The 14,364-nt window shown below is 52.4% G+C and overlaps 1 long non-coding RNA gene across 2 annotated transcripts in view; it reads right to left on the reverse strand.

Moving 5' to 3' along the window:
- The window catches only part of LOC105373390 (uncharacterized), a 133,531-nt gene that overhangs the window by 6,291 nt on the left and 112,876 nt on the right, over nucleotides 1–14,364 (reverse strand). For both annotated transcript variants that reach the window (NR_187839.1, NR_187838.1), the window contains exon 3: nucleotides 2,802–2,918. This is a non-coding gene — a long non-coding RNA (uncharacterized LOC105373390). The remainder of the gene's footprint in view (nucleotides 1–2,801; nucleotides 2,919–14,364) is intronic.

Below are 14,364 nucleotides of genomic sequence, written 5' to 3' on the forward strand. Positions count from 1 at the left end.
AGACTGGTGTGGAGCAGAGACTTGGAGGATGATGAGAAAGGGGGGACCCGCATCTCTCCGTAGGGGAGGTGTCTCTGACACTCACCAACTGGGTGGAGACCAGAGGAAAGCTGGATCTGGAAGGACCCAGAAGCAAAAAGCAAGGTGACTTCCTGGGTGCTCTTACCCCAGGGACTCACCACCTATGCAGTGGGCTCCACAAACTAGTTATCAAGTCTGATTTCTAAAAGACCCACTCTGCACACGCACGTGCTACACACCCACGGCATCTGTGGCCAAATCAGGATCTAGAGCCAGGGAGACAGAGGCATCATTCAAAACAGATGCATAGTTAACTGGCCACCAGGTCTGTGGAGAATCTGGGAATCCTCAACACTCCATGCACAAATGGTTTCCAGTTTCCAGAAATAAACACAACTAACCCAGGATGCTCCAAAGGCTTTAATAACCAGAACATGGCAGAGTCAAGGAAGCCAACGGGAGATGTTGAAGCACGGAGACTCGCAGGAGCAGGGCTCCACTCTTCAGATCCGAAGGCAAAAGCAAGGCCTGTGCAGCTGGAGCCTTGGGGAGGCCCACCTGGTGGGAGCTGGAGTCATGGGGGCATCCGCCCAACCAGCAGGAGATGATGAAAAAATAGCAAGACCTCGCTTCTCCCATCCCCAGTCCTCCTGTGGTGTTGATCGTTGGCTGAACCCAACTGGGTGGCCGTGGAAGCCTGGGGAAAGGGTCTTGGGGAAGGGGTCCTGGGGAAGGTGTTCTGTCGAGTAGAGTAGCCCTTAGGCTGTCAAATCAGGGAAAACATGGGAAACCTGGGGATAGCAGTGTTGCGGCAGAACAGGAATGGCCAGCAGAGAATACGTCTTCAGATGGGATTTGCTGAAATTTCCTCGCACTGCCATCGGCATAAGAAGCTGTCCTGCAGCATTACTCCAAGCCCATTGCCCAACTTTGAAAACCACAGCGACCACAGATTTCCACTCTGGTGTGTTTGTTTATTGCACAATCCATCTGCTCATTGACCAAATATCAATGATGTGCCAGGGACTGTGCTTGGAATGATGCGAGGCATGGAGGTTGAATTCACACGATCCCTGTTCCCAAGGTGTTCATAATCTAATGAGAAAGTAATAGCTCTGATATGGTTTCATGAAATAACCACTACAATCTGAACATTAGCCTGAAGGAACTGAAGGAAACAAGGAATCATTAATTCAGGAGAAAGTATTTTATATCAGCCTTCGAAGATGAATAGCAGAATCAGATTTTCATTTGTGTTTGGAGTGGGACAGTCTTCCCCGGAAAGTGAGAACTAAATACCATCCTTACCCACACACACACACACACACACACACACACACACACACACAGAGAGAGAGAGAGAGAGAGAGAGAGTTCAGGTGTTAACCCCAGTCCAGGTAAGAATTTAAGATTTCTGTAAACCTCCGTATTATCATCACCACCGTCCCCACCCCTCTGTTAAGGCAGCCCCAGCAGTGGGAGCAGCCTCAGAGTGCAGTGGGTCTGGCTGCTGTGTCTGTACCTGTGACCCTCCCTCACCACAGATGCCCACCGAGGAGGGAGGGGTACAGATGCGCTGCGGGGACCTCTGTATGCAGCATGTCCCTGTCAGTCCCCGGCTTGTTGACCCAGAAAGCTGGGGCCTCTGGCAGAGGAACAGCCCCTCTCTCAGGGCATGGTCAGGCATTGGGGCCTAGGGGAGACTTTCCTTGTTGTGGCTGAGCTTTGGGAATCCTCTTTGTTCCACACTTCAGATGTTTCTAATGAAAGCTTTCCACAAGGGACTCCTGACATCCCTCCACGACCATCCTCCTCCTTCAGCATCTGCCCCTCGGGAGTGATGTCCCACAATTGTTCAGAAGACGTGGGGCCTTCTTGGTTCTCACACTCCACGTCACGGTTGGTCAGGAACCCCTGTGGCTCCCCCACGGACTGTGCCAATGTGGGGTCACTTCTTTCCACCTCCACACCACGCCCCTTTCCCAGTCTCCCCGCCTGGAGGACCCAGGAGCTCCTAGCAGGGCGTGGACATCAGCTGCCCTCTCCTGCGGCCAGTTCCCCACGTGGGCTGAGGGTGCCACATCCCAGAATATCACCCTCAATTCCCCAACAGCCCCAGTTCACTGTGGATAAAAGGCTGAGTGTCCATCACACACTGCGGGGTTCTACTTGACCCATCCCTGATGCTGCCCTGACTGCATCCCTACGTCCTCCCTGGTCACCTTCCCCCACTCAGGCCACAGGGGAGTGCCTTCTGCACCTTCTCCCTGCGATGCTCTCTCCATATTCCTAAAAGCACCTTTGCTCAAGTAACTCCTACACCATGGTGCTTACTCCTTCTGGCCTGTGCAATACAGATGACCCCTGTGTACCCCATGGCACTTCCAAACCCTGCACCCGGTTCTACCCTCTATTTTGATTTCCCCCAAACTTAAATTCTAATGCTTTTTAGCTAGCTTAAATATTATCATTTTCTGTCTTTCCTCAATGGATTGTAAACCAGTGTAACTTTGTCTTTTTTTTTCCCCAAACTTACGTACCCCAGTCACCAAGACTGTTGCCTGACGTGCTCAGCAAATGCTCTTTTGAATGTTAAGTGAACTTGTGGCTCCGTGGCTAGCATCTATTTGGGGAGAGCCCCAGAGCTAGCACAGGCTCATCTGTGGGAGGGGTGCACCGTTAGCCTGAAGCCCCACGTGGGAAGACTTTCACGATTCCACTTTCCCCACAGAGAAATATTTTCACCCGATGAATCCCTCCTTATTGCTGCAGTGACGGACCTGAAATTGGGAAAGTTGGAAGCGCACGATGCTGGCACTGGTGGGAATCATTCGTGAACCGGGTGCTTCTCTTGGGTCAGAAGCTGGAAGCAAGAGTAAGAATCCGGGAAGATCTCACTGGAGGGGGAAGAAGAAAAACATGAGTTCGAATTGACAATGAGGCCACCCCAGGAGCAGGGAGGACAAGAGGACAGTTTGAGGGAGGACAAGAGGACAGTTTGAGGGAGGACAAGAGGACAGTTTGAGGGAGGACGAGAGGACAGTTTGAGGGAGGACGAGAGGACAGTTTGAGGGAGGACGAGAGGACAGTTTGAGGGAGGACGAGAGGACAGTTTGAGGGAGGACGAGAGGACAGTTTGAGGGAGGACAAGAGGACAGTTTGAGGGAGGGCAAGAGGACAGTTTGGAAGCCATGGGTGATGCCGCATGTGTACGAGGGTTCAGTGAGAAGCAGACGCCACACAGAGCTTGGAAGGCTGAGGGGACTCCATGCAGGGTGCTGGTTCCAGGAGGGATGGAGAGGCCGAGAAGCCAGAGCCAAAGGGCGGCCAAGAGGAGCCACTGCCCCGAGGGATGAGCGGCAAGGACCACGTCAAGGCAAGGGAGAAAGAAGAGGGGGTGACAAGCACCCCATGAGACCTGAGTGACAGGCAGGCACAGGGGGGAGCAGCAGCAGCTGTCAGTCACCGTCCAGGGCAGGAGAAGAGGGAGGATGCCGGCTTCCCTCACCTCCCCACCTCCATCTCAAGCCAGTGCCTCTCTGCGGGGCCAAGCAGAAGTGGGCAGCCTGGGCACCTGCGGAATTTATCCCCAAGAAGGGGGAGTCCACAGCCCTGAAATGCCAGGAAGACCTGGGCAGGTGGGGAGTGGAAGGAAAGGAGGCCAGTTTCCACAGACAGCAGGGGACACAAGATGACAGAGATCCCCTAGGTCCGGCCAGGAGCTGCAGCGACCTTTGGAAGTGCAGTCAGCATAGGGCACAAGCCCCAGCACTATGGAAACTGGCTATTTTTAACCTATAATCTTTCCCTCCTAGTTTCTCGTTAGGATTTGTGAAGGATTTTTAAAATGTCACCCTGTCACCTCTATGATACAGGAGAACCAAGAACATGGGATTTCAAGCGAGCAGCCGGGCCCTCCTGGGGTGTGCGTGGTGGTAACTGTGGGAACTGGCAGAACTCCCCTGGGAGGGAGGCTCCACAGCTTCCACACTCCTCTGCAAGATGTCTCTTTTTACCTGGAGTTTCCTGACCTGCCAGTTCTTTTTCTTCTGTGCTTCCACGTGGCAGCATCTGGCATCCGGCTGCTCTTCATGCCTGTCGCTGTGGCCCTTTTTCAAAGGTTGGGCAGTCCTGCCTCAGCCCCTGCCATGCCCTCCTCTGACGGAAGAGCTGCTGCTATGTGGAGTCTCTGAGCCCGGAATGCCAGCCCTGACCTGCAACCTTGTCAAATATGAGACTAATGTTTGCAGCGAGAATGTAATGAGTAGGTTAGATACAAATGCCTTCGTGAGGAGAACCTCTCCCTCTGGTCACTGGACATATGAAAAGTTATACCTTTGAAATCTTAAGGACCCAAGGAAACAAAATAAAGGATCCTCCAGCCTCAACATCACATGCACCTGCAGTATTCCTGAGCCTTAAAACAATCTGTGTTTGCGGGTAACTCCTAGGAAACACGCTGTAATGAAAATATGCCAGGTCTTCAGGTCTCTCATGAAAGAGTCCTGAATAATTGGGGCTCTTTCTCCGATCTGGGCAGCCTCATAGTGACATGAGGAGCCTGTCAGTGTTGGCTGCAATTTACAAATGAGGCAGGTGGGTCCTGCCCAAGGGCACACAGCTGCTAGGCAGAGCCAGGGTTGGGACATTTGTCTTCTGGGACACACTGAATGTGGCCCTGCAGCTTGAATCACATTATTTCTCTTAGAAGAATTCGCCCCTAGATTTTTCGTCTATCAACATTGTTGCCATCTTTTAAGGGACGAGTTCACTAAGGAAGTTAGTCCTGACCCATGCCTTTCCCCAGAGGCCCTCAATCCCAGCACCAAAATAATAATTCCTCTCACTGTTTTCCAGATGTATGTGATCTGTACCTCTATCAGAACTTACTTCACTTAAAATAAATACTTTCCACTAAATAAATGAGCATTAACTATATATTTTTATTTAAAATTCAGAAAAAGAATTAGAAGAAAATAAACCACCCATCAACCTATCTTGCAAAAACTGCCAACGGCTTGCCATAAGAGAAGAAAAATAAACTCCAATGAAACTCAAAAATCATTAGATGTTTAGGTCATTTGGTGCATGGAGAAACCGTGTAATACAGCTCCACAGCTACCAAGAGTAACTCTGTTTTATAGGATGGAATAATTGATATATATGTGATATCATCAATAAGTAATTACACTACGTTTCTCATATAATGTAGGTGAGACAGTGTGCTATCCATTTTAGAAATATTTTAATTCAACATTCAAAATGATTTTTGTGTGTTTAAGTTTTGCCGATCAAATTGATCAGCTGTAGTTATCTGCAAAATTTGTGTGGGTTTGAGTACAGCGCCTTCCCATGCCTGGGGCTGGATGAATGAAGTATCCCCCAAACAGCCTTAAGCAAAGGGATAACAACAAATGAACGCAGACTCTCATGAAGGGTGAGTTACAGGATGTTTCAGAGTTTCCGTGAAGCTGAGTATAATTGTGTTTAAAATCATCTCGGCGTCATGCATGTTGAACTGGAACTGGCCATGGTGCTGGAAGTAGACATCATGATCATAGGGAAACGGCAATGGTACTGGGGGAGGTGGGCTACACTGACCATTTTATTTATGATTTGGAAGAAAAAGCAATGACGCAATTGATTTAAAACCTATATTTCTAGATTACTCAAGAGGCCAAAACACTCAGGTGATGAACTCTTACACTGTAGAGAATGCCCAGTGTGACCATGTGCATTTCATCCTCTTCCTGCCTCCCTCTGTGAGGAAGGAAGGACAATGCCAGGCATGGAGATGACAGGGATTTTCCTGAGGCCAGCAGCGTGGCTAGAGCTCACTCCTTGAACCCTTCACTATGGGCTTGTTCCACTCCAGAGAGAGAAATAACACACATAACCTTTTGCCTCCCACTGTGGAAGGAGGTAGGCAACTGGCATTGGATGAACAATTGCTATGTGGCTGTCTGACTTGCCTATCTGAGGCTACTTTACAAAAGTAATTTATTTCAAATATCATAACAACTCTTTGAGACAAGTATTACTGTCTTGTTTTTAAAATGAGAACAGAGTAGCCTAGAGACATTAACTTTCTCAAGTAAACAGCAAAATGTATACACTGTAATTAAGTAAGGCATTTATTAATTCAATTAAAACTTCTAATTCTACCAGGGAGGAAGCACTACCCTAGGCGCTGGAGACATGAGGAGGAAGGATGTTTCTGATTGCCTTCTCCATGGTGCAGGAGTGATACACAGGCAATTAACTGCAGAGCCAGGGAGAACATCGTGCAGGCAGTCAACAGCGTGAGCCGCCACTTGGAGGTGAGAGGGAAGGTGGCTCATTCGAGAATTGAGAGGAACTGGCTGTGCTTCAGCAGAGTCTACGTGGGTCTGACAGCACCAAGTTGAAAGGCGTTTCTCTGAGAAGCATGAAGGTTCAAGTCAAGGAGGGCATCATCTCAGCCCTGTGAGACACTGGGGGGCTGCTCCCGAGGGCAGTGTGGGGGGGTTAAGCTGCTGAGTGACACTTTGGAGGGACTGTTGTGCTGTCAGGTGCAGAAAGTCTTGAATGACATTAAGAGTGGAGACAGAAAAACTGATTCGGAAGCAATTGCAACAATCCAGGCACAAGAGTGTGTTGTTGAGGTAAGATATTGTAGAGAAGATGGTAACATTTTAGGTGAACTTCTCCATTCTTGTATACTCAGCACCTAGAACAGAGCCTGGTACACAGCAGGTGCTGGATAAATGTCTGTCAAAGAAACCAAGGAGACAGTAGTCAAGCAGTGGCATGCATAATCCCAGAACTTGGCCTTTTCTTCAGTACCGAAGGTGAAGCCATGAAATCCAGCCAGGAACGCCCTCGCCTCCCCTCTGCAGTCTGACGATGGAGTCAGGTGAGAGACGGATGCAGTGCGGGAGCCTGAGACAGCACAACGTAAATGGGAACAATAAGAGTCTCACGCAGGAGCAGCATCAGTGAACATGGGGAGGTAAGTAGAGTGGGAGGTTTTGCAGAGAAGCCAGAGCAGAAATCACAGAAAGGCAAGGTCGTTTGGGAAGGGGCTCAGGTTTTTCCTGCAAGCATGGGAAAACAGAGGTGTTTCTTCTGCAAGCAGGCAGTGGGGCAGTCTCAGATCCCAAGGTGACTGGTCCATGCCTCTCTTCCCACCCCAGCTCAGCACCACACTCCACACCCCAGCCATGCCACTGGCACCTGCACCTCCACACCCCAGCCACACCGCCGGCACCTGCGTCTCCACACCCCAGCCACACCTCCAGCACCTGCACCTCCACACCCCAGCCACACCACCGGCACCTGTGTCTCCACACCCTGGTCGTGCTGCCGGCACCTGCACCTCCACACCCCGGCCACGCCACCAGCACCTGCACCTCCACACCCCAGCCACACCGCTGGCACCTATGTCTCCACACCCCGGCCATGCCGCCAACACCTGCATCTCCACACCCTGGCCATGCTGCCGACACCTGCACCTCCACACCCTGGCCATGCTGCCGACACCTGCACCTCCACACCCTGGCCATGCTGCCGACACCTGCACCTCCACACCCTGGCCATGCTGCCGACACCTGCACCTCCACACCCTGGCCACACCACCAGCACCTGCATCTCCACACCCCGGCCATGCCATCGGCACCTGCACCTCCACACCCCGGCCACGCCACCAGCACCTGCACCTCCACACCCCAGCCACACCGCCCGTACCTATGTCTCCACACCCCAGCCATGCCATCAGCACCTGCACCTCCACACCCCGGCCACACCACCAGCATCTGCACCTCCACACCCCAGCCACAGCACTGGCACCTATGTCTCCACACCCCGGCCATGCCACCCGCACCTGGGTCTCCACACCCTGGCCATGCTGCCGGCACCTGCACCTCCACACCCCGGCCACGCCACCAGCACCTGCACCTCCACTCCCCAGCCACACCTCCAGCACCTATGTCTCCACACCCCAGCCATGCCATCGGCACCTGCACCTCCACACCCCGGCCACACCACCAGCACCTGCACCTCCACACCCCAGCCACACCGCCGGCACCTATGTCTCCACACCCCGGCTATGCCGCCCGCACCTGCGTCTCCACACCCTGGCCATGCTACCGACACCTGCACCTCCACACCCCGGCCACACCGCCGGCACCTGCTCCAGCTTCCCCTTCAGTAGGCAAGGGATTCTCAATCTTGGCTGCATAATGGAATCACCCAGTGAACTCTAAAAGATACTGAAACCTGGACCTCACCCCTAGTGATTTGGTCTTAGGAGAGCTTGGGCACCAGGACTGTTGAAAGATCTCCAGTGTTTTTCATGTGCAGCAAAGGTGAAGAACGGCTGCTCCAGGCCCCGATAAAGCCTCGGCCCACGGGCCAGGGTCTCCACTGAGCTTCTTACCAAGTTCTAGGCTAATGTCCTATTATATTAACCAACCTCTGGGTTCCAGATCACGTCAGACCTTGAGCCTCTTACTTGTTTTCCTGCCTACAACCTCAGCTTCTCCAAAACTGAGGTCAAGTCCTTGATTCACAGCCAAGGACCTTCTGGAGGCGGGTACCCTGCCCCCAGGCTCAATATTCATAGCTGTCCCTGCTTTCAGCCTTCCTCAACTCAAATCAAGTCTGGATGTGGTTTTGGGGTGCTCAGACCCCATGCTTATCACCTACCCTGGCATCCAGGGAAAGTCCATGAGAAGCGCGTGGCAAGTGTGGGGCACAGAGCAGGTGCCCACAACATCCCAACGGGGGATCACACGGAGGATCACACGGAGGATCACACCACCGGTGGTCACGAGACAGACTGAGGTAAAGAGCAGGCGCCCACAACATCCCAAGGGAGGATCACACGGAGGATCACACCGCCGGTGGTCACGAGACAGACTGGGGCACAGAGCAGGCGCCCACAACATCCCAATGGAGGATCACACGGAGGATCACACCACCAGTGGTCATGAGACAGACTGGGGCACAGAGCAGGCTCCCACAACATCCCAACGGAGGATCACACGGAGGATCACGCCACCAGTGGTCACAAGACAGACTGGGGCACAGAGAAGGCGCCCACAACATCCCAACGGAGGATCACACGGAAGATCACACCACCGGTGGTCACGAGACAGACTGAGGTAAAGAGCAGGCGCCCACAACATCCCAATGGAGAATCGCACTGCCGGTGGTCATGAGATAGACTGGGGCACAAAGCAGGCGCCCACAACATCCCAATGGAGGATCACACCGCCAGTGGTCATGAGACAGATGGGATTCTGCAGAGGTGCTTAGGCCACTTCCCACGGGGCCCCTGCCAATGACTTTGCAATTACCTTTCATGAACATGTGGAGAAGAGCCTATCGTTGTAAGTCCCGTTTCCAAAGAGACTTGAACTAGTAGCACCCAAAGGCAGCTGATGGGATAGGAAAGGCATCAGAATTTTTAAAGTTGGGTGAGCCTGGGTTCAGATCTCAGAGTCACATTGTCACTTGCCCTCCCTAAGTTTCACAGTTTCTCATCTGCAAAGCAGAGCGGGTGAAAGCACACCTCTGCATTTGACCTTCACAGTAGACCAGCATGTGCATCCTGCATTCCTGTCCACACTGTCGGGAAACACATTTATGGAGATGATTAAATGTGAAAATACAGCTGTAACCAGAGGTCAGAGGCCAGAATCCAGTTCATTCTGCCTCCACAGCCCATGCTCTTCCAGCCACACCCTCAAGCATAGCCAACGTGTCCCTGGATGACAGGCCTTCTTTCCAGCCTCCCCAAAAATCTCAAAAGGCTGAGCCTGTCATCTCTGAACTACAGCAGCCTGGCCAGGTTAAAGGGCATCCCCTGGTCCAATGCCTGACTTTCAGCAAGAGCTTTAACCAGTAACTGGGACCCAGAGTCAAACACAATGGCCTGGAAGTTTCCCAAACCTCAGATAGGACAACAGTTGGTGCACGTGGGTCCTCCAGATCCCGTGTGACCCTGGGAAGACTGCCCCTCATCAAGCCGCAACTTCTCCCATCTCAGTCCCTCCATATCTCGGGAACTCCCCTTGGTCCTCATATCCTCTCCCTTCCATGGCAGGAAGCCCATCTCCACTTGCACCAAAGTGACGCCAGAGCCTCACGTGCTCCTGGCCAGTCCTCTCTCCGTCCATCTTACCACCACCAAGTCAGCACTGTTTGCACCTCTGCAAGTGGGTAAATACCCATTCTAAGAAGGACACTGTCTTAAGCCACGTAGACTGCTATAACAAGATACCTTGGACTCAATAACTTATAAACAACAAAAGTGTATGGCTCACAGTTCTGGGAGCTGGAAGTCCAATATCAAAGTGCCAGCAGATGTGACATCTGGCCAGGGCTCTTTCTGCTTCATAGATGGTGCCTTGTTTCTGGGTTTTCACATGGCAGAACAAGCCCCTGAGATGTCTTCTCTAAGGACATTGATCCCGTTCATGAGGGCTTTGCCTCAGGAACTAACCATCTCCCCAAGGCCCCACTTCCCAGCACCGCTGCACTGGGGATTAGGGATCCACACATCAACTTGGGGTGGGGACCTCAACATTCAGACCATAGCAGGCGCTGCCGTTAGACATGATTGCCCCATGCCTTAAAGACCAAAAATAAAACTATCATACCTGTTACAATTCAAAAACCAAGCCTTCCCACTATTAACTTATTGTCATCACCCAAAGCCGTGACCACACTCACATGCATCGTCTCTTCCCATTCAACACATTTTCCCAGTCCCAATCACCCCTTCTCTCTGCTCTCTGATGGGCACGGACTGTCAATCACACATCCCCACACCCTCCCTAAGTCTTCCATCTACTTCCCCCTCCGACTGAAGTGTGGATCTCACTTACGATCACCAAGTCCTCTCTCCAGCCATGCCCTTTTATCTCCCACACCCAAGGCACCACTAGGATAGAGGTGGTGTGGGCACCTCCCCTGCCTGATCTTCCCCAGCCATTGCTCTTTCCTTCTCCTTCACAACCCCACCCCCACCTTGGAAGCAGGTTCCATCATACTTTGCTGCATGCTACCCTGCTTTCTGCTGTCATTCACCAGCTCAGAGGCACCCCACTGGCTTCTTTTTAGCACCTGGCTCACTTACGACAGCTCCCGTCACCAGTCCTGTCTCTGGGCTAACTCCATCCTCCATGCTGACACCCCTCAACCACCCCCAATGGTGTCCCCACTTGAATGAGCCTCTCACTGCAGAGCCACACCCTCCTAGATTTTTGCATTACCAATAGTGTGTAGCCTCCAAAGTCTGGTTTTAGAAGCCTACCCATTGAGCTGTCCATGTTTCCAGATCATTTCCAGATCACTTGTTCTAGAAATTCCAAGATAGCTCATGTTTGGCCCCATTGTAACCTCCAATCCACTCACCCCACCAGGCTTCTACTGCCCACAACCCCATAGCCTCACTTCCATCGTGAATGGATCAGAAGACGTGGCTTATCAATGTCAGCACTGCTTGTGTACCTTGGCAAATCTTTTTCCATACTTCTTCCAAGATACTCATTTACCCGGAAAAATTCAAGCTCTCCTTATCCATGGATAAACAAAAGCATTACACACTCACATCCACACATCCACAGACACACAACCATGCTGACCATTCTCATTTTAAATTTAAATGTAGAACACAGACTTTAGTGACGCTTCAGTGTTGCCTAGAAATCCAGCCACTCAAGGAAGCTGCTGCTACTCTCACCCTCTCCCCCTTCCACATCAGCGTCTCCCTGTATTGTGCCATTTTCCACCAGATTATAACCATGCCATGACAGTTACCATCTTAATAAAACAGGGAAAGAAACCCATAGGTCCCATGTCTCTAACTTTACCCCGTTTTCTTACAAAACTGTCACCTGTTGTCCTTTCTGCACTTCCTCACCTTCCATTCTCACCTCAACACACCCTGATCACCGTCCCCTATGGTTGCTTTTATCAAGGGCAACAAAAAGTTCCCTCTAGCCGAATCCAAAAAGAATTCTCCGTCTCCAGCTTCCTTGAATGGCAGCAATGTTCAATACATTTGAACACTGACATGTGTTTCATAGATTTGAATGCTGCTTCCTTGACATGTCTCTTCCCTTGGGCGCCATGCCCCTGGCCTCCCCTCGCCTCACTGCTGACTGCTTCTCAGGTTCCTTCCCCAATGGCTCCTCATGTTCTGACCTCCAAGCTTGCTCTCCATCCTCATCTCTGCCTTTCCCCACTTCCCAGGTGGACTTTCCAGGACTGTCACACTGAGCATCACTTGGATGCTATGGACGTCCAAGCTTGCACCTCTCACCTCGACAAGCTCCTGACCCAGGGCTGTGCATCCAGCTCCCAAGTGGGCATCGCTGCATTTGGGCTGACAGATGCCCCAGACTTAATGTTTCTAAGGCAGAGCCCTACTCTCCATTCTCCTAAGGTCACCTTCATCCAGTCTTTCCCACCTCGGCAAATGGCACCACAACTCCTGACACTTTTGGCAAAAACCCAGTCATTCTTTAGTTTTCCCTTTCCCTCCCAAGTGGCATCCTGTCTACCAGTGAGGTCTCTGAAATCTACATGTCATTCCCTGCTTCACCTCTACCACTTAAATCATCAGCCATCTCCTGCCACCTGGATTACAACCATAGCTCCCCTCCCAACATCCCCTCTGCCCCTTGACATCTGACCTGTGTGCTGCGTGGTTCTCAAATGTACTTAGATTACGTCACTAATGTACTGCTTTAGAAGGTGCCATTTTAGGCACGAAACCTGCACTGCTGCCTGCACCTGCAGGGCCGCACTCCGGGGTCTGTACCCCTCAGACCCCCGCGTTCACCGCACCCCTTCTTACTCACCTCGTGGCTGTCTGCTCTTCAGGCCAGTCCCACCCCACCTCGCCCTGACCGCACCCACTGCTCCGAATTCCAGGGCACTCTTCTCCCTAATCTCCTCACAACCCACACCTTTATTTCCCTCTCTGATCAAATATCACCTCCTCCAAGATGGTTTTCTGGCAGCCTGACCCCCACCCATCACCTCTATCCCTCCTCTTGCTTTTTTCCCCACCTCCGCATCACATCACACCACGGGTTCGTGTTGCTTGCTTCGTGTCCGCTCCCTGGAACATCAGCTCCCTTGCATGTCTGCCTTTGCTGCCTTCCGCTCTGCCCTGGCTACCGCACTTGACTGCACGCCCCACCCACAAGCCTGGTAGAGGGGCTCATCCTGTACACTTGGTATTTCCCATTCTGCATATCATGGCGTTTCCATCTAAGATAAGTCCTTAATGACGCACCTAAAGGAAAAGCAAACAGTTGTTTTGAAATGAGGGAAGGGGCTAGGAAAGGGATCGCGTCCACACTGTCTGCACTGGCACTGATTCATAAACCCCGCTGCAGGGCAGCAGAACCAGCCTGTGCTGGGCCCGTGGCTCCTCTCCCAACCTGCTTCCCATCTCCACAGACCGTCTGACCTGACCATAGTGAGGCTTTGCTCTGCTAGCTATGCAATGTTAGTGGCCCTTAGCCCCCCACATTCCCCCCCAGCTTGCTCCCCCTGCCATCTTGAGGTGAGGAGCTGTGGCAAAGGCCACTACCTGGAGGGCCTGGAGACCCTCGGATGGGAGGTCCGATCGGCCCTGCTCACACACATCTGCTCAGGGCGCCTGCCTGCCTCCTGGCCCTGTCTCCTTCCTCCCAGTCCTGTGGCCCCCACTTAGCCCAGTCTGCTCGCTGGGTCTCTCCGCACACTGTAGAAGGTCTTCCCATCTAAGGCATGAATTGTGCCTTAAGGTGCTGTCCAGAGTTTTGCCTGACTCCCTTCCCTGCCTCCCCGGAGCCCAGCCCGTGTCTGAGCCATGCCTACACTGTTGCTGCAGTGGGTTCTGTCATAACTCAGGTGTCCTGGGAGCGTGGGCACCTCCCACCTGCATCCCCAGGCTACCAGGTCTATCCTGAGCCAGGCCCCTACTTGTCACTCAGTTTCCCTACAGAGTGACCCCCTAGATCCACTCCCCAAGGCGGGGACCCAGCAGGGGTGCAGACTCAGGAGCGCAGCCTGATGCTCCCTCAGGGCACAGCCTGGAGGAGGGAGCCAGGTGGGCTGTTGTTTCACAGAAAGTCCCCCATGGCTCTCAGGGACGTGGAGCTGTTAAAGCTTCAGCTTTTAAATCTCTGCACCCTGGGTAGTTGTGAATTGGTGACAAAGCAGCTGTCCCCACAACCAACTCTCCTGGCCACACTGACACCCACACACTGCTGACACACACAGCACAAAGCATACACAGCACACACTTGCACACGCGTCCAGAAGCACCCACATACACCAGACACACAGACCATATATAAC

This window comes from Homo sapiens, chromosome 2 (genome assembly GCF_000001405.40).
Source record: "Homo sapiens chromosome 2, GRCh38.p14 Primary Assembly".
Lineage (NCBI taxonomy): Eukaryota > Metazoa > Chordata > Mammalia > Primates > Hominidae > Homo > Homo sapiens.